Genomic DNA, 19519 nt, shown 5'->3' with positions numbered 1-19519 from the left:
GTGCAGTGGCAAAAGCCCCACTGTCAGAGGGGACCTGAACTTGGTTTAGTGCTATGTTGTCACTGCCTTCAAATTCTTAACAATTTTTGAACAGACTCCACATTTTCAGTTAGCACCGGGTCCTGCAAATTATGTACCCAGTCCTGTCCCTGAAACAAAGATAAGGTTTGTTCATGAAGGGACTCACTCGACCCCTCCCTGCCCATCTCACTCCAAGATGCCCTAAGTAAAGGGGAACACAGAGCTAGGAGAAGGCAGTATTTGAGGATGATCTTGGAGGTCCCACCTGATCATGGCTGGTGATGCATGTGTGTGGGTGGGAGAATTTGGCTGCTCTCTTCTGGCACCTTCCATCCCATGTACAAGGCCTGCACTTTGCCTGTCTGTCCCAAGTCCTCCTACCTGACTCAGACCAGGAGTGTGGATGGGGGTGGGGGGTGGTGGCGGGCACTGGGGCCCAGTACTCCTGGTCCCAGCTGGAGTTCCCTGTTGACTGGGGAGATTTGGCCCCTCTGACTACTCCTACCCCATCCCCACTAGGACAGGAGTTGGTGAAGGGGACAGGGTGGGAGGCTTAACTAGTAGCCAGGGGCAGGCGGCAGGCAGTGGGGCGAAGATCAGGCTGAATTTTCCTGCTACTGATCTGCTCTCTGGAAGAGGCATTCATGAACTGGCTTAGGCTGTGGCTTGGCTATTTTAGGAATATTCTTAACCCTTCCTGAGTCACTGCCGCCATCAGACTTCTCTCCCAGAGCACAGAGCACCAGACTATTCCCTCTCCTTGTCCCCTCCTCCCCAGTCCCTGCTTTCCTCCCTGGCAGCTGAGGTCAGAGTTTTCTCAGGGGCGGGGCAAGTTGACTTCTGCCAAGGAAAACTCCGGGGTCCCTGAGCCCCCTTCTTTGTCCTGTGACTTCTCCCTCTTCATCACAGCTCTGGACTCAGCAAAGTGGCAGAATGGGCATCACCTCAGCCCTTCTTCTCATCTTATAAAATTGGAACTTCAGCATCTCTCATCTGAGGGAAAATAGTTGACCTGCATCCCCAGAGTAAGGTGGGAAGCTGCAGTCCTGATTTCCAGCCTCTGGCAGAGCAGGAGCCCCTGCCTGCCTGGCTTTGATGCCCTGTTAGGGGCACGTTTCCAGCAGGGAGTCACATGCCAGAGCCCCTCATGGGGTTACCTCTGCCTGGTTTTTTCCTCCACTCCAGGTTCTTCCCAGAGTCTGGCTTTTTGGAAAAACCTAGGCCATGATATAGGCATTACCTCTGTAAGGCTAAGGGGGGGTCCCACTGCGGGCCAGGAGGGCTCAACATCAATATATCTGAATTTCAAGCCAAGACAGGGGGAAAAGATCTTGGCTCAGTGTCAGGGGTTTCTGTGTCCCTGACAGCTGGGCTTGCCTGAGCTGGGAGGCCCAGCATATCTGGGCCTTGTGATGCCTTCTGACAGTAGGAGTTGGAGTTTGCCACCAACTGCTATTGGGAAAGCTTGACATGGTGATCCAGGAATAAGGCTGATGATGCCACAAAAATGCCCAAGGGCCTGTGGTGTGCCTGACAGTGTCCTGGGAAGTGGATATAGAGGATCAATAATCAATAATCATTATTTCCCTGAGAAAGGAAGCTCTCTTGGGGTGGTTAACCAGGTGTCTGGCCACAAGCCTAGGCCAGGGTTGATGGGCTGGGGCAAGTGAGTCATCCCAACTCATTCCCCCTCCTCCAGGTTATCACAACCAGCCCAGCTCCAGAAGTGAAAGAGCTGGCTGCAGCTGGGCATGAGGCCAAATGAAAATGCTTTCACTCCCCTCAAGGGCTGCAGAGGGGGCCCTTGCAAAGGGAGGGTCACCGAGCTGCAATTTCTTCTGCCTCCAATCCAGAAAGAGCCTGAAGGATTGCTCAAGGTGTCCTGGGAAAGATTTTGATTTCAAAGAGACAATCTCCCCCAGGAACTCCAGGAGAATTTTGTGTGGCGTTTAAAGGGTAAGAAGCTGCTGGGTGTGGCAGCTCACACCTGTAATTGCTGTGCTTTCAGAGCTACAGGCAGGAGGATCACTTGAGGCCAGGAGTTAGAGAACAGTCCGGGCAACACAGTGAGACACCCCCCACTACAAAAAACAAGAAGACCCCTCTTTTTACCCCTAATTGAGAGGCGTGACTAGAAGGCAGAAAGCTGGCTGTTGAGGTGGGAGTCTCTCTCTTCAGGCAGAGGTAGGGCCGCTTCCTGGGGCAGAGGCGTGGGTGGTGTGTCTGGCTCTGCAGTTCCTGATGAAGACATACTGGGGTGCCCAGGCTAACCTTTGGCAAAACTAGGAGCTGAACTCAGGAGTCCCTGATGCCAGCCTTTCTGATGCGGTCCCCCTCCCCTCCCCCATGTGTCTCGCTCCATAGCTCCAGGCCAGGAGCCCCAACTGGCTGGTGGAGGATGTCTTGCTCCTCAGCAGCTGGGATTTGTAAGTATTTGTAGGAACATGGAACAGATCAGTGGCTGACAGGCCCAGGAAGCAGACAGTCCCCTTCCCATAGGTCACCAGCTTCACTTCCCCTTCCTGCACCCCATCCTGATTTGAGGGAGCCCAGGATGACAAAGAGGGAGTAGTTGAGCAAGGTATGGAGTGGCAGCCTCTACAGGAGCTCAAAGGATGCATTTGTCCATCTGCCCTGGGCTCAGCTTCCACACTCAGAGTCACTCACATCCCTCCACCGTCGCCACAGCTCACCTGTGTGCCCACACGGCCAAGGTCACACTGACCCCAAACGCACACTGTTTCAACTCTCAGCACTTCACTGTCACACTCGCGTGTGTACACACATGCTTTCTAATTTCCACAGCCACATGGATGCTCACACACTCACACCTTTGCACACACACACAAGCTGGCTCACAGACACACTGGGGGCCCAGATCCTGGTCATTCCCCACAGGTCTTAATAAAGGTTCATGGAAGGAAACCTGTTTCCTAAGGTAGGGTGGGAGTGTGTGTGAGTGTGTGGGGGGGAGAGGGTGAGAGTGAGTGTGTGCGTGTGTTAGTGTGTGTGTGTATGTAAGGAGCAGGAGTGACTGGGTCCTGAGTTTAGGGAGTTGGGAAGAGGAAGGAGAGATGGAGACAAGCCTGGACCAAGAGCCACTCAGAGCTGCCTGGAAGGGAAGCCAGGCTGAGATAAAGGCAAGGCAAAGAAATAAGACACTGACAAGGATCAAGCCAGGGTTGGGTAGGGACTGGGAACAGAGTCTGCCTCCATGAGAAGCTGTCACATTGCTGCTCTGGTGCCCTGTGACAGCGGCACCATCTCCAGCTGGAGACTCCCCTCTCTGGATCTTGTCATTGTGACTTTGCTTTGTTGGACAACCAGGAGTGGTGACAGGCAGGGAATATGGTGCCCAGGGCAGCTAGCCATGCCACGCCAGTCCAGCTGCCAACCCACCCGTCACTGGCCATCTCATCACCTGCCAGAGGGAGTGGGGTGGTGCAGATGAAACCAGCGATCAGCTTGGCTGCCCTTGCTTCGTAGTGCCACAGTAGAGGCTAGGGGAGCAACTGGCTTTCCTCCCCAAAAGGCGGGCAGGGTTATCCACACTTTGCCCAGGTCCCTGAAGCCTGCGGCTGAGCTCGGGGATAACAGGGGCCAAGTCACCGGTCCCAGACACCTAGGAACTATTAGAGACAGGAACCAGCATATGAGACAGGGGCTGTTAAGTAGGAGGTTGGAGAACACACGTTTTTGGTCTAAACCGGGGGCCCCTCTCTTTGCCCACTGAGCCCGCGGCCTGCGTGGTGCTGAGACTGCCTCTGGCCGCGTCCGCTTGGGACAAGGCCTGAGCGGTGGCTGATCCCACCTGGATGTCCCGGGCCGGCTCCCACCCGAAGCCCGCCATCCCGGGACGCGGTGGGGAGAAGCTGGCACTGCTCCTTGCCATGCTTGGCGGCCGCTGCTGCCCGGCTGGGGGTCCCGAGTCGCACACGCCCCGCAAGCCCTGGCCACCGATCCGGAGGGAACGCCCTGGGCTGCGGTCCCCGAAGCCAAGAGAAGAAGCAGGTCCCAGGGCCGACTCCAAAGCCGCATCTCCAGCTTTGTTCATGGGTCCGGGAAGCAGAGGCCGCCGCCGGCCACCGTCGTGGGCGAGAAGAAGGGCACGAGGCGGCCGGGGCTCCTGCCCGGAACCACATGTGCGCGCCGGGCCCCGCTTCTTCATCGCACTTGCGGCCCCGGCTGCCCGGGGCCTGCGAGTTTCCAGCCAGGGCCCGGGACTCTGGCGCGGTCCGGCCGCGAGGAAGGAAGGCGTGGCCCGGGTGGGGGTAGCGGCAGGCCTGCGGCTCCGGCCACGGGGCAGGGGCAGAAAAACGACCCCGGCGCTGTCCGGGCATCCAGCTCGGTTCCCGCTGCAGCCAGGAGACTCCCGGGAGCGCTCTAGGAACCACAGAGCCCTGGAACTCACCTGGCAGCCTCGCGGCGCTAAAGCCGGCGGAGCCTGAGACAGCGCGCGGCGAGGCGGTCACGCTCCACCCCCGCGTGGCGGCAGGACTCGGATTTCGCCCCTGGTTTTAAAATTGTGCCGGTGGAGCCCGGGACGCTGGGAAGAGCGTTCTGCGCCCCTCCAGTCGCGGTCTCCGCCCTAAACCGACTTCCAGAGCCGCCTCTGCTCCCTGGAGGGGCGCAGTGGCGGACACCGGCGTCCCACGAAGTCGCAGGTCCTCAGTCTGAGGGCTGCCCCGCACGCTCGGAATGCAGGAGGGTCTCCGCCTCGCTGCGCTGCCCCTGGGGGCGGAGGCGTGCGCTGCAGGCGAGAGAGGCGGCCCGGTATCGATGGAGAAGCACAGAGGGCTTTGAGGTCGCAACGTCCCGGTTGCTGAGCGGAGTCAGGAGTCAGGTTCCAAAGGGACAGCGCTCAGGGTTGTAATCACCACCCGGCCCACCGCTTCCGCAGCTGCGAGTCTAGGGCGGAGCTGTTGGGTGGACCGAGCAGGCGAGGCGCAGGCAGGCAGCGGCTCCGCCTCGGAATCCGCCTCGACCGGGGCCCAGGTGCCCGCCCCACCTGTCCCTCGGTCACCCCAACCCTGTTTCCTCGACCCCCAGCACTCCTCCAGGCCTAGTTCGCTTCAGAGGCGCGAGACCCGGAAAACAAGGAAGAAGCGAGCTCAGCCTCAATCCCCGTCCCCACCCCACTTTCGGGACCGCTAAGCTGGAGAATTGAAGGGGGCGGACCCCGGATTAAAGCCGCTCCCTTCCCAGCCTCGCCCCGCTTTCCTAATGTCCGTGATGATTTCGTTATTGGCAGGGAAGAGCCAGACTCCCTGCGCTCCCAAGACGGGGCGATTGGGAGGGGGTTCTGGAGCTCATGCCTGGGGTCGGCCCGGCGGGGGTGACCCCGCGCCCTCGCCGGTGCAAGGAGAACAGCTGGTTCCCGCCGGGGCAGGGAAGCGTGGACGGTGTGGGCTCAGGCGCCTGGCAGGCACACGGGGCCTCTAAAGCTTGGTCACTGTCACAGATCGTGTGGTTGTTTCTTCCGTCCCCGCCACGCCTTCCTCCTGGGATGGGGATTCATTCCCTAGCAGGTGTCGGAGAACTGGCGCCCTTGCAGGGTAGGCGCCCCGGAGCCTGAGGCGGGAACTTTAAAATCAGACGCTTGGGGGCCGGGCTGGGAAAAACTGGCGGAAAATATTATAACTGAACTCTCAATGCCAGCTGTTGTAGAAGCTCCTGGGACAAGCCGTGGAAGTCCCCTCAGGAGGCTTCCGCGATGTCCTAGGTGGCTGCTCCGCCCGCCACGGTCATTTCCATTGACTCACACGCGCCGCCTGGAGGAGGAGGCTGCGCTGGACACGCCGGTGGCGCCTTTGCCTGGGGGAGCGCAGCCTGGAGCTCTGGCGGCAGCGCTGGGAGCGGGGCCTCGGAGGCTGGGCCTGGGGACCCAAGGTTGGGCGGGGCGCAGGAGGTGGGCTCAGGGTTCTCCAGAGAATCCCCATGAGCTGACCCGCAGGGCGGCCGGGCCAGTAGGCACCGGGCCCCCGCGGTGACCTGCGGCCCCGAAGCTGGAGCAGCCACTGCAAATGCTGCGCTGACCCCAAATGCTGTGTCCTTTAAATGTTTTAATTAAGAATAATTAATAGGTCCGGGTGTGGAGGCTCAAGCCTTAATCCCCAGCACCTGGCGAGGCCGAGGAGGGAGGATCCCTTGAGCCCAGAGGTTCGAGACTAGCCTGGGCAACACAGTCAGACTCCATCCTTCCAAAACAAACAAACGAAAATAAAACAAACAGAAAACGAAATTAGCCGGGTGTGGTGGTGCGGGCCTGTGGTCCCAGCTCCTCGGGAGGCTGAGGCAGGAAGATGGCTTGCGACTGCACCACTGCATTCCAGCCTTCGCGACAGAGCAAGACCCTGTCTCGAAAAATGTGTATGTCTGGGTAAGTGTATAGATTTTACAACTATTTTGAAGGCGACCTTTTTAACTTTAAACAGACCACTCTGGAGGAGACGCCTGACCCAGAGCGCTTTACCTAAAGTTCGGTGCCTAAAATGCACCCTTCCTCTGGCTGGTGTCTCCCTTCTGCCAAGCTATGCCTCCTGCAGAGGTAGGCTCCGTGGTGTCTCCCACTCCGCCCCAACTGGAGAACGGTGTAAAGAACTGTCAGCCGGGTGCAGTGGCTCACGCCTGTAATCTCAGCACTTTGTGAGGCCGAGAGGGGCGGATCACTTGAGGTCAGAAGTTCAAAACCAGCCTGGCCAACATGGTGAAACCCCGTCTCTGCTACAAAAATTAGCCAGGCGTGATGGTGGATGCCTGTAATCCCAGCTACTCAGGAGGCTGAGGCAGGAGAGTTGCTTGAACCCGGGAGGCGGAGGTTGCAGTGAGCAGAGATGGCGCCACTGCACTCCAGCCTGGGTGACAAGAGCAACTCCGTCTCCCAAAAAAAAAAAAAGAAGAATTGTCAACAAGAGGGAGTGGCAATTCAGAAGCATATTTAAGCCAAGTCCTCAAGACTAGAAAGCATGAAGCAGGGGAGGCGTTTTGAAAGCGTAAGAACAATAGACCATGGGCATGGATGGCCGAGTCTGGGGATCAGCATCGTAATTTGTTGAGAAGGAGGCCGTGCTGTGCTGCCAGTTATTAATTGGTTTAATCGGTTGATACACAGCCCTACTGGCCTAACCAGTAGCCCAGGGCCCTGGAGGATTTGCAGTTCGTGTCAGAATTTGATTGCAGTTCCTTCCACTTGGCATAAGGAGACACTATCAGCCTGATTGGGAGGGTGATGGTGGGATGGAGCCTGCCGAGGTGGCGGCGCTGAGCTGACCACACCACCGGCCATAGAGTGGGAGCCTTTCCTGCCCGCTTAACTGCAGCTAATATCAAAAGCACTGGTATGGGCTGTCTATCTGTGCTGGAACCTGAGTTTATCTTTGTCTGCAATTACGATTCTTCTGGGTTTATTTTGCCAGCTCATTATCCAGCCCCCTGGAATCAGGCCTCCCAAATTTAGCAGGTGCTGGGGAGGACCCTAGGGAGTGGTTTATGGGGGCTAGCTGGTGAAACTGCCCTTTCCTTTCTGTTCTATGAGTGTGATGGTGTTTGAGAAAATGTGGGGCTATGGTTCAGGCGCACTTCACATGTGCAAAGATGGAGAAAGCACTCACCTACACGTTTAGGCTCAGAATATTGATTGAAACATTTTGAATGATCAAAAATAAAATGTTATTTTTAAAGTTTCTCTCTGAGATTTTGCTTAAGTTTTGGTAGATATTCTTAAGTTTTAGTGACCTCAGTTTGGGAATTAAGTAAGCTAAACATTGTGTCCTTATTATTAGTTATATAAAACTATGCTTTAGACTTTGTTAGAAACTTCTGCCCCACCTTGACTGACTCCTTTTCCATTTCTGGTTGTACAAAATGAATTCACACTTTAATGCTATGGCCACCTTTAAATAAAGTACAGCGTGACTAAAAAAAAAAAAAAAAAAAAAAAGAACCAGTACAAATGTTTTCAGAGACAAATGCATTCTCTGACATCTGAGGTTACAAGCAAATCTCTTCTTCACCTGTTTGCTTGTTTGGAGTTGTAATATTTGCTTTGGTGTAGAGCTGAAGACATAAATTGGTAACCAATGGAATTATCTGGCCTCAGACTTTATTTATTTTCATCATTTATTTCACTGATGTGCAAATTTATTCCGTACCAGCAAATGTCAATTTAATTATATTCTACAGTACACAGTGAATCATGTATACTTAGTTAAGTTGTAAATACACTAAACCATATAAACTCACAACAGTATATCAGCTCATGATGGGTAAATGACTTTTCCCTGAGAAAGAGTATCTGTTTAACCTGCATGATCTCACTCTTTAGTATTTGCTTCTTTAGTCTACGTTTGTTTCCTAGTTTTGAATATAATCATGATATGGAGAGACAAGTGAAATCACCACAATTTTGTTTTCCAAAATGTGAGACTATGCAAATGCTGAAATGAGAATTAATACATCCAAAATATCGAACCACAATTATGGCTTTGCTTTACTTTTTGCCCGTAAGAGACATGTGGCCTAGAATAGGTGGCAGGTATTCCTACCACAACCTTGCTTAGCATAGTGGTTGACTAAATATAAATTTTAGAGATGAAGGTTGTTCTATACCCAGATTTCAATGTGATTGCTATGCCCACTTCACTTTCTCTAAAATACATATTTTTCTTACTTCTCACTTTCTTTTTCTTCTTGGTTGACATTTTTTGGCTCAGGGATTTTTTTTTTCCTTATGATCTCAATAAATTTTTCTCATATAAAAAGACATAATCGTGCTGGGAGCGGTGGCTCATGCTTGTAATCCCAGCACTTTGGGAGGCTGAGGCTGGTGGATCACCTGAGGTCAGCAGTTAAAGATGAGCCCGGCCAAAATGGTGAAACCTCATCTCTACTAAAAATACAAAAATTTGCCAGGTGTGGTGGCAGGCACTTGTAATCCCAGCCACTCGGGAGGCTGAGGCAGGAGAATCGCTTGAACCCAGGAGGCAGAGGTTGCAGTGAGCCAAGATCATGCCATTGGACTCTAGCAGGGTGACAAGAGCAAAACTCCATCTCAGGAAAAAAAAAATCATAAATTTTCCCATATTAAAAAAATAACACAAGATCCGGAATACAGAGAGGAGCATAATGCTTTGCAGGTCATAGATGTAATCTTTCTTCCAGGAAAAATGTATTTCAGATGAGACCAGAATTGGAAACATATTCTGTGCCGTCAGATAGCACTGGCTTAGGAGATGAATGAGGAGGAGCCTGCAGGCTACCTCAAGGATAAGAAGCAGGCAAAAGGCAAGCACAGGGGTGGCATGCACTCACACTGGGGCTGCTCCTTCCTGGGCAAGTTTCAGAAACTCACTGACAGTTAGAGCTAGCAGCTCCCGTAGAGATGAATGCCCATGTTTTCCCGAAGGGAGAACTGATGTTTAGAAAGGCTGAATGACTTGTCTAAGACTCTGGGGCCAGAACAGGGATCTTATTCCAGTATTTCTTGCATGAAGCCATTCTACTTCCACGTTTCTAATTTATAACTTTTAAAAGGTCATTTTAAAAACGAAATAGCATAAACATCAAGTCTGGAGGCTAGTGGTGGGATTATTCACATTTATTTTTCCACTTGACATTTGAGGGCAATAGTGATGCTTAAGTAAAACCAAAATTATCCTGGGAGTATAGAAAATAATATATCTGTTTACATTTTGGTGTGGGATGAGTAGAATCTTGTTTTCAAATTCCTTGCTTGAAAGGCTATTAAGAAGAATAAATCCTCACTTAACAGTTTTCTAAATCCTTGGTGGTGTCCTCTGTCCTTTGGTAACACGTGAAAGTAGAGCACACTTTTCTACTTTTGTTCCTTCTGCACCCCTCATAAGGTGAAGCATGCATAGAGCACTCCCAGGGTCAGTGTGAGCCCAGCAGCAGCTCAGGCTGCCGATGCTCCAGAGTCGGATTCCACCTTCCACTTAAATGGCAGCCACAGGTAGACGTGCCCATCACAACCAACTCTGTGCGTTCATAATTTCTGTTTATTCTACAGGTGGTTTCCACAAGAAAAATGGCACAATGTTTCTCAGAAGACAATTACATAAGAATCAGCATACTTCAAATTCACAGCAAATAATCAGACAATTGATGAAAATACTTACCCAAACACTAATTGTAGACTATGCCTTCTGAATATGTTTGTCATAAACTTGGAGTAAGGAATCCTCACAGGCACTGGACAATTCAAAAAACGTAAAGTTGTTTGTTAGAATACTGGTGCTTTTGGGTAGAAACCCTCATCCATATCCTGGTAAGGCTTGAAGTTGCACAGGAGTTTTCATTTGTCAAAACCCAGAAAACCATAAGCTTTAGATTTGTGAATTTTATATTGTATTATATGTGACCTTTCTTTTTAAAAAATGAGCTGTAAGCAGTCTCCCAGACAGTAGCTCAGCCTCCAGAACTCTCTTTCTGCATAGTTGAAGACCCCTCTTCACACAAGATGGTAGCAACAAATCATAGGTGCAATTGCACCAAATTCACAGAAGATCAATTGAAAATCCTCATCAATACCTTCACTCAAAAACCTTACCCAGGTTATGCTACCAAACAAAAACTTGCTTTAGCAATCAATGCAGAAGAGTCCAGAATCCAGATTTGGTTTCAGAATCAAAGAGCTAGGCATGGATTCCAGAAAACACCAGAACCTGACTTTAGATTTAAGCCACAGCCATGGACAAGATTAACCTGGTGTGGAGTTTCAAAATAGAGAAGCCAGATGGTGTTGTACCACCTATAGCACCTTTCAATTACACACAGTCATCCATGCATTTATGAAAAACCCATACCCTGGGATTGATTCCAGAGAACAACTTGCTGAAGAAATTGGTGCTTCAGAGTCAAGAGTCCAAATTTGGTTCCAAAATCGAAGATCTAGATTTCATCTCCAGAGAAAAAGAGAACCTGTTATGTCCTTAGAATGAGAAGACCAGAGAAGACCAGGGGCAAGGTTTCTGAGGGACTTCAAGGTACAGAAGATACACAAAGTGGCACCAGCCTCACTAGCACTCTCATTTCTCAAGAGCCAGAACATGGTGAATACAATCAAGTTCAGTGTATTTGATAATATCAATTTGGGCCCCAAATCTCTCTCACAGTCTTCCTGGGAGTCTATTCTTCTTCCAAAAGTGCAAGCTAAGCCTTCTGAAGATGGTAAAGAACTTGGCCGGGTGTGGTGGCTCATGCCTGTAATCCCAGCACTTTAGGAGGCTGAGGCTGGAAGATTGCTTGAGCCTAGGAGTTTGAAACCAGTCTGAGCAACATAGTAAGACCCTGTCTCTATTCTAAAAAACAAAATAAGTAAAAAGGACTGTAGGAGGCCAAGACAGGTACAGGAGGCACCACACTACCCTGTTGACACAGCCTGGATCCAGAGTTCAGCAGACCTTGAGACAATGAAAACAAACTTAGTAATAATCATTTTTCAATCATTGCAGTAATTATTGATTTGGACAAAAATCAATTGACGTCAAAACCTTAAAGTGACGTTTCTCTGCCTATGGAGTGGTCATTCTTTTATTCCTTTAGTTTCATAATAAATTTTCTTTTACTTAAAAAAACTTATAGTTTGATGAAGAGTGAGATATATACCTCATCTCAAAGAATCTTCACACACACACTTATTAATTACAAAAGGAAAATCAGTAATTTTGCAGTGGAGACATATGGCCAACTCCACCTTACCCAAGTGGCTGAAAGTCACTGCACCAGTAATGGCACAAACCAATGTGAGATGATTCCTGATATGATACACTAAAAAGGGCACTGTCTCTTCTGCATGTTGCAGACAAAAAGTGGGTAAGCTGAAACTGAAACTAATAATTAGGCAATGTCAAGCAAATACAAATTCAGGTTGACAGTCTGCGAAGTAACATCCATGTACTCTTCAACAGTGGATCGACCCTAGCTACTCAGGAGGCTGAGGTGGAATAATTGTTTGAGGCCAGGAGTTCCAGATCAGCCTGGGCAACATCATGCGACCCCATCTCTAAAAACATCTTTTTAAAAATGAGCCAGGTGTGGTAGCATGCACCCGTAGTCTCAGCTACTCAGGAGCCTGAGACAGGAGGATGGTTTCAACATAGGAGATCGAGGCTGCTGTGAGCTATGATCGTGCTACTGCACTCCAGCCTGGGTGACACAGCAAGTTCCTGTTTCCAAACAACAACAAGAAAACAAAACAAAACAAAACAAAAAATAGATAGAATAGTGGCAATAAAAATGGAGAAAAAGTAGGCTGACTCAGGAAATGCTTAGAAAGTACAGCCATACCTCAAAGATATTGTAGATTTGATTCGAGACCACCACAATAAAGCAGATATTGCTACAAAGTGAGTCACACAAATTGTTTTGTTTCCTTGTGAATATGAAGTTATATTGGCTGGGTGTGATGGCTCATGCCTATAATCCCAGTACTTTAGGAGACGGAGGCGGGAGGGTCACTTGAGCCCAGGAATTGTGAGATCAACCTGGGCATATAGGGAGATCCTGTCTCTATTTAAAAAAAGAAGCTATGTTTACACTACACTATAGTCTATTTAAAGTGTGAAATGGCGTTATGTCCTTAATTTTAAAACTCTTGATGCTGGCTGGGTTCGGTGGCTCATGCCTGTAATCCCATCACTTTGGGAGGCCAAGACAGGTTGATTACTTGAATTCAGGAGTTCAAGACCAGCCTGGACAACATGGCAAAACACGTCTTTAAAAAAAGAAAAGAAAAAAGAAAAACAGAAAGAAAAAGAAGAAAAACTACTTGCTGCCCTTACTTGAAGCTCTATTATTTAAAACAAAGAAAAAATAGAAAAATCTTTTATTGCTGAAAATGCTAATGATCACCTGAGCCTTCAGAGAGTCTTAGTCTTTTTGCTGGTGAAGGGTCTTGCCTTGATGTTGTTGGCTGCTGCCTGATAAGGGCGATGGTTGCTGAATATTGAAGTGGTTGTCACAATTTCTTAAAAGAAAACAATGAAATTTGCCACATTAACTGACTCTTCCTTCCACGAAAGATTTCAGTGTACCATGCGATACTGTATGATAAGCATTTTACCCATAGTAGAACTTCTTTCAAAATTGGAGTCAGTCTTCTCACACCCTGCCACTGTTTTACTATGTTTATCAATATTCTAAATCCTTTGTTGTAGGCTAAACAATATTCACAGCATTTTCACCAGGAGTAAATTTCATCTCACAAAACCACTTTCCAGGCTCTTTCTGGACTGTAGAGTTCTTTCCAGGCTACGTTGTGGCAGTTTAAGAGTCTGGCATCATTTTCCGCTGGGACCTAAGGATCGAGGAGGTGCTTGTGACTAGACTGCCAATGGACCCATCACAAAGTTTAACCCAACCTTGATCCCCGAGTCTTCACAAATGCTCACTGAAGAAAATTCCTAGAACAATTCAGGGTCCTTTCATAACCTCTACTCTGAGGTGTTAATAAAAAACCTTAGTAACTTAAAAAAAATGAGCTGTACACAAATACTGAACAATAATGCTACATATGTTAAGTATGTAAGAAAAATATATACTTTGACATAAATAAGAAACGGTGAGTTGATAATTGGATAGAATGGTGGATAGAGTGAGAGATATGTAGTAAAGCAAATATAACAAAATGATAATTGTACAATCTAAGTGGTTGGACTATAAATATGCACTTCCCACAACATTTTTATATGTTTAAACAGTTTTATAATACCATATTAGGGAAACTGTTTGTCTCAAGGAAATAGAGATTGTGATATATTCTAGTACAATGAAGTGTAATCATGTAAAATAAAAGCTTTTACTTCTGGCAATTAAAGTTAGTCATGTTAGAACACTGTCTAGGAATGGTTGGAAAATAACATTTTATTTTCTAATCAATATATTTATGTCATCTGTCAATCAGAATTACACTGACTTTAAAAAGCAATAATATGACTGTATATTCATGATGAAATATAGCCTAAGAACAAAATAATGCACAAAAATAATCTCAGATTGCTTATTATTTTTCAGAAGGCTGTATTTTTAGTCTTAGGCTATTGGTTTGTCTTATATTGCAGGATTTTAAAAAAATGATTAGTTCCCAGCACTTTGGGAGGCTGAGATGGGCAGATCACAAGGTGAAGAGATTGAGACCATCCTGGCCAACATGGTGAAACCCCCTCTCTACTAAAAATACAAAAATTAGCTGGGCGTGGTGGCATGTGCCTGTAGTCCCAGCTACTCAGGGGGCTGAGGCAGGAGAATTGCTTAAACTCCAGAGGTGGAGGTTGCAGTGAGCCGAGGTGGTGCCATTGCACTCCAGCCTGCTGACAGAGTGAGACTCCGTCTCAAAAAAAAAAAAAAAAAAAAAGAAAAAGAAAAAAAAAAGAGAGTAGTTATGGGGCTGGGCACGGTGGCTCATGCTTGTAATCCCAGCACTTTGGGAGGCCGAGGTGGGTGGATCACGAGATCAGGAGTTCAAGACCAGCCTAGCCAAGATGATGAAACCCCCATCTTTACTAAAAATACAAAAAAATCGGTTGGGCACAGTGGCTCACGCTTATAATCCCAGCACTTTGGGAGGCTGAGGCGGGTGGATCACGAAGTCAGGAGATCAAGACCTACCTGGCTAACACGGTGAAACCCTGTCTCCACTAAAAATACAAAAAATTAGCCAGGCATGGTGGCACGTGCCTATAGTCCCAGCTGCTCGGTAGGCTGAGGCAGGAGAATGATTGCACCACTGCACTCCAGCCTGGGCAACAGAGCGAGACTCCGTCTCAGAAAAAAAAAAAAAAAAAAAAAAAAAAAAAAAAAAAAAAAAAAAGCGCCGGGCGCGGTGGCTTGTGCCTGTAATCCCAGAACTTTGGGGGACCGAGGTGGGTGGATCACGAGGTCAGTGGTTCAAGACCAGCCTGGCCAACATGGTGAAACCACGTCTCTACTAAAAATACAAAAATTAGCCAGGTGTGGTGGAGTTTGCCTGTAATCCCAGCTACTCTGGAGGCTGAGGTAGGGAACTGCTTGAACTCCGGAAGTGGAGGTTGCAGTGAGCCTAGATCACACCACTGCGCTCCAGCCAGGGTGACAGAGCTAGACTCCATCTCATTATGGGTGTGACATTGAAAACTGGTACTTTCCTAATGAAATAGAAGAAGATACAGATGTAATATCTCTGAGCATAATTAAAATCCTCTAATCAAGACTGTTAACCGAAAGGTTTGTTTAAAAGTTATAAATTTTTATTAAAAAATACACTTATCTTTTAGACTTATCCACTGAAAAGTCCTGGAAGCATTAAATAAAACAGAAGCAGAAAGCACCTTGGTGCCATAACTTTGGATTCTCCATGTCATCATTCACTAAAAGGAACCAAAGCTTCTCGGAGAAATGGCTGCTTTCTGGCTGCAGGCAGGCAATGTGCAAAATCAATCTAGAGCATCTCGTCATACTGGAATGCAAGGACACTTTTATACCCCCTAGGATCGTGTCCATAGGATCCAAGAGGCAACTTGAAGGAAGTCCCACTCTCCAAACATGAACTAATATAAGCATCAATAATATTGATGACCACAAGCCAGGCACGGTGGTTCACACCTGTAAGCCCAACACTTTGGGAAGCCAAGGCAGGTGGATTGCTTTAGCCCAGGTGTTCAAGACAAGCCTGGGCAACATAGTAAAACCTTCTGTCTACCAAAAATAGAAAACAAAAAATTAGCCAGGCATGGTAGCTTGTGTCTGTAGTCCCAGCTACTTGAGAGGCTGAGGTGGCAGGGTCACCTAAGCCCAGGAGTCTGAGGATGCGGTGAGCTGTGATTATGCCACTGCACTCCAGCATGGGCCATAAAGCAAGATCTGTCTCAAAAACAAACAAACCAAAATAATGATGATGATGATGATGATGATGACTGCAATGAGCAGGTGCACACCTTATATGTTTAAATCATTGAGCTTATAATGATGTTAAAGCATGCAGTCAATAGAATAAATACATTATGCAGGTATTGGAATTAGCATAAAAAGACTACAGTATTCCCTCTTTATCTGTGGGGCATACTTTGGAAGGCCTCCAGTGGATGTCTTAAACCATGGATAATACCGAACCCTACATTAGCACTTACTACACACTGTGTCTGTGACTTTTGAAGTTTGAGGTACAAAAGCGAAACTAGCAAGAATTTATTTTTCCTTTTCCACAATTGTACCAATAAAGGAATAGTTCTTACCCTAGATGTTGGCAATCTCAGCATATCTTTTTCCTCATTAAGTGCAAAACTTTCTGCTTTTCAGTTACTGAAAGCACTTTCAGGTTTCTCTTTTGCATATCTGAATTGCCAGCATCAATACTATTGCATATTGAGACCATTACTAAGTAAAATAAGGGTTACTTGAACACAAACACTGCGATACTGAGATAGGTCCATCTGATAACTTAGACAGCTGCCAATGTCTAATGAGCAGGAAGCAGGAATTGTGTATCTGCTGAGCAAAGGGGTATGTCACATCCTGAACTGGATACAGCAGAATGGCGGGAGGTTGCATCACATTCCTCGGAACAAGGTGTGACTTAAAATTTATAAACTGTTTACTTCTGGAGTTTTATATTTCATATTTTTTGACTGTGGGTGACTGAAAGTGAGGAAAGTAAAGCCACAATAAGGGGATACTACTATATTATAAACATGCTCAAGGATTGAAATAAAAATAAAATTGAGCAAACAGATGTGAAGCCTCAGCAGAGATAAAAACTTTAAAAAAAATTCTAGTACTTAAAAATACAACATCTTACAGAAAAATTTCATCAGACTGAGAAGAGTCAGGAGAATAATTCCCAAAATTAATTTTTAAAAAGTCAATCCATTTTTAATTTCTTCAAGTACTTTCTAGGATTTTAGGAAACCATATTGCTACTTAGAAAACTGGCAAATAAAAGAGTAACTGATAAATAGAAAATGGTAAATAAAGGGAAAGAATCACGTATTTATTCTACCTTTTCACTACAAGCAGTACCTCATGGTAACCAAAGAGACAGCGAAGAAAATCTATCTACAAAAATTTTCTATTTAATCTATGAAAGAAGAATAATAGAATTAAAACAGCTCCATTTATTGATCTCTAATTTAATCAGTTTTGAAGGTTATCATCCCTTATGCTCTTGGTTTGGTTCAGCCAGGAAAACAGCCAATTAAGTATTATAGAAATAAACAGTTTAATATAAGAATTAGCGCTTACATTTATGTGCATGTAAGCAAAAAAAATGAAAGTTTTTTTCTGCCTACAGAAAGTCAGAAACACAATCACAAATGACATCAGCTGAAAACACTGATATAGGAGCGAAAGCAGTAGCTCATCAAGGAGTCCAGGAAACTTCTGTATTCACCAGGATTATGAAGTACACGCTTGTGTGATGTCTATGATGGGCCTATATCTGGATACTAGAATTGCTGAGAAGAACCTTGTTAAAAAAAACTCTGGGCTGGGTGCAGTGGCTCACGCCTGTAATCGCAGCACTTTGGGAGGCCAAAGCAGGAAGATCATGAGGTCAGGAGATCGAGACCATCCTGGCTAACATGGTGAAACCCTGTCTCTACTAAAAAAAAAAAAAAAGAAAAAAAAAATTAGCCGAACATGGTGGCATGTGCCTGTAGTCCTAGCTACTCGGGAGGCTGAGGCAGGAGAATTGCTTGAACTTGGGATGTGGAGGTTGCAGTGAGTCGAGATAACACCACTGCACTCCAGCCTGGGCAACAGAGAGAGACTCTGTCTCAAAAAAAAAAAAAAGTCATTAGAATGATGGGGCCCGGAAAAAACCAATCTTGGGTCACGAATACACATTCAAAAGTAGATTAGAACATTTATAAGCTTAAATTTGAAATTTTGAAAATATTTTCTTTTAACCTGTATGAGTCTAAATATTTGCCTTTCCTTAATAATTTTGAAATTAGTACTCATCAAAGGGGTTGGCAATCATGGCGAGTGGCTATTAATGACTGATTTAAAAAATAATACTAATTGCATTCATTAATTCCTTTATACATTTTTAAAAGTCCTCCAACATTTTTTCTTATTCTCGTTTGCTCATATTCTTCAATATCCATATTCTGTGATCTGTATTTTGATCTTTTAAAATACCTGTTGAGTATCCCTTGTCCAAAATGCAGGGAACCAGAAGTATTTTGGATTTGGGATTTTTTTCAGATATTGGAATATTTGCATTATACTTACCAGTAGAGCATACCTATTCTCCTTTGCAACAAAGTGCTAATATTCTCTTCTGTCTTTTTGTTTTGCATGGTAGTCTATTTCCATCTTCTTCTGGAAGTTAACATCTATGCCAGCAACATTTCTCTAAATTTGTCCTCATTTTTCATGTTTCCTTCTTCAAAGATCTCTTGAGATTTTTGGTTTCTATGCCCCACTTAATTTTTCTTTAGAATCTTTAACTAGTTATCCAGTCCCAAGAAACCCATCAAACTTCAGATGTCTTTACTGACAAATGGACATTGCATTTCTCATTGATTTTACTGATCTCTGGGGAGGCGTGCTCCCTGAAGGCAGCACTTTTTTTCCAGTGAAAAAGGCACAGTTAGGCAATATGGGAAAGGCATTTCTGAATTTCAGGACCAGTCCTAAAATTGAGTTTGGGTCAGTTCTCTCTAGAAAATATTCTATTTTATTTACAAAGCAAAATTATTTTATTCCTTACAATAATATCAGAGACAGTTTCGCTACTATTTACATTCGGTCTTTTGCCCTAAGTCAAATAATCAACTCTGGGAGGAGGAGATCTTTGAAATAAATTTATTCTGTACCTTATGGACAGACACAAATTCTTTGGAGGCCTTCAGTTATATCTCCCTAAGAACTGTGAGGGAAGCTAATAGGCAACTAACTTCAAAAAATTTTGTTCTATTTTTTTGAAAACTCGACTCATTTATGCTCTCCAGTGTCATATCTCCATACTGCTCTGTGTTTTACTTCTGAATCAATCTTCCCTCCCTCCCAAATATTTTCAATGTGACTTCTGGAAACCTCATTAGAGGACATTGACTCCATTTCTTTGCTTTAATTAAAATTCAGCTATCTATATGAGGACAATGCTTCCCTCGACATGTGCTCCACTGAAGGCTAGTCATTTTCCCAAAGGCTAAGGTGTCATAGAATTTATTTAATAGAAGTGGGTTGGCATAATTTTAGCTCCATATTTCCTATTCCCAACCACTATTCCTCTATTTTAATACAAAAGCCCCTTCTTTACTGTCTATCCATCTAACTATAATGCCTTCTAACTATAATGTCTTCTAACAACTGCCACATTTATTCCAGAACTTCCTCTACACCCAAGCAACATCATTTTCTCATTTGGCCTCCCTTTCACACTCATGTGGTTGGCTCATTTAACACCTTAACCTCATAGGTTCTTTGTTTCCTCAGCTCTGAGACTTTTTCTTGAATTCAGCCTTCCACTGCCTATGTCTTAGACATTTTTTAATGGCCT

General features: G+C 46.2%; 1 long non-coding RNA gene and 1 pseudogene across 4 annotated transcripts in view; both read left to right on the top strand.

Annotated features, from left to right (window-relative positions):
- Positions 1-11615, top strand: part of DUXAP10 (double homeobox A pseudogene 10) — a 42890-nt pseudogene extending 31275 nt beyond the window's left edge. The window contains exon 8 of the transcript NR_110526.1: positions 10049-11615. The product of NR_110526.1 is annotated as a double homeobox A pseudogene 10 (transcript). The remainder of the gene's footprint in view (positions 1-10048) is intronic.
- The window catches only part of LINC01297-DUXAP10-NBEAP6 (LINC01297-DUXAP10-NBEAP6 readthrough), a 115486-nt gene that overhangs the window by 77889 nt on the left and 18078 nt on the right, over positions 1-19519 (top strand). The window contains exon 7 of one of the 3 annotated variants that reach the window (NR_164309.1): positions 10049-11615. The exons of the other annotated variants lie outside the window; for them this stretch is intronic. This is a non-coding gene — a long non-coding RNA (LINC01297-DUXAP10-NBEAP6 readthrough). Of the gene's footprint in view, positions 1-10048; positions 11616-19519 lie in introns of those variants that run through there. 3 annotated transcript variants of the gene reach the window in all.

This window comes from Homo sapiens, chromosome 14, assembly GCF_000001405.40.
Source record: "Homo sapiens chromosome 14, GRCh38.p14 Primary Assembly".
Lineage (NCBI taxonomy): Eukaryota > Metazoa > Chordata > Mammalia > Primates > Hominidae > Homo > Homo sapiens.
The sequence above is the reverse complement of the archived record's forward strand: the minus strand, read 5'-3'. Positions and strand labels throughout refer to the sequence as shown.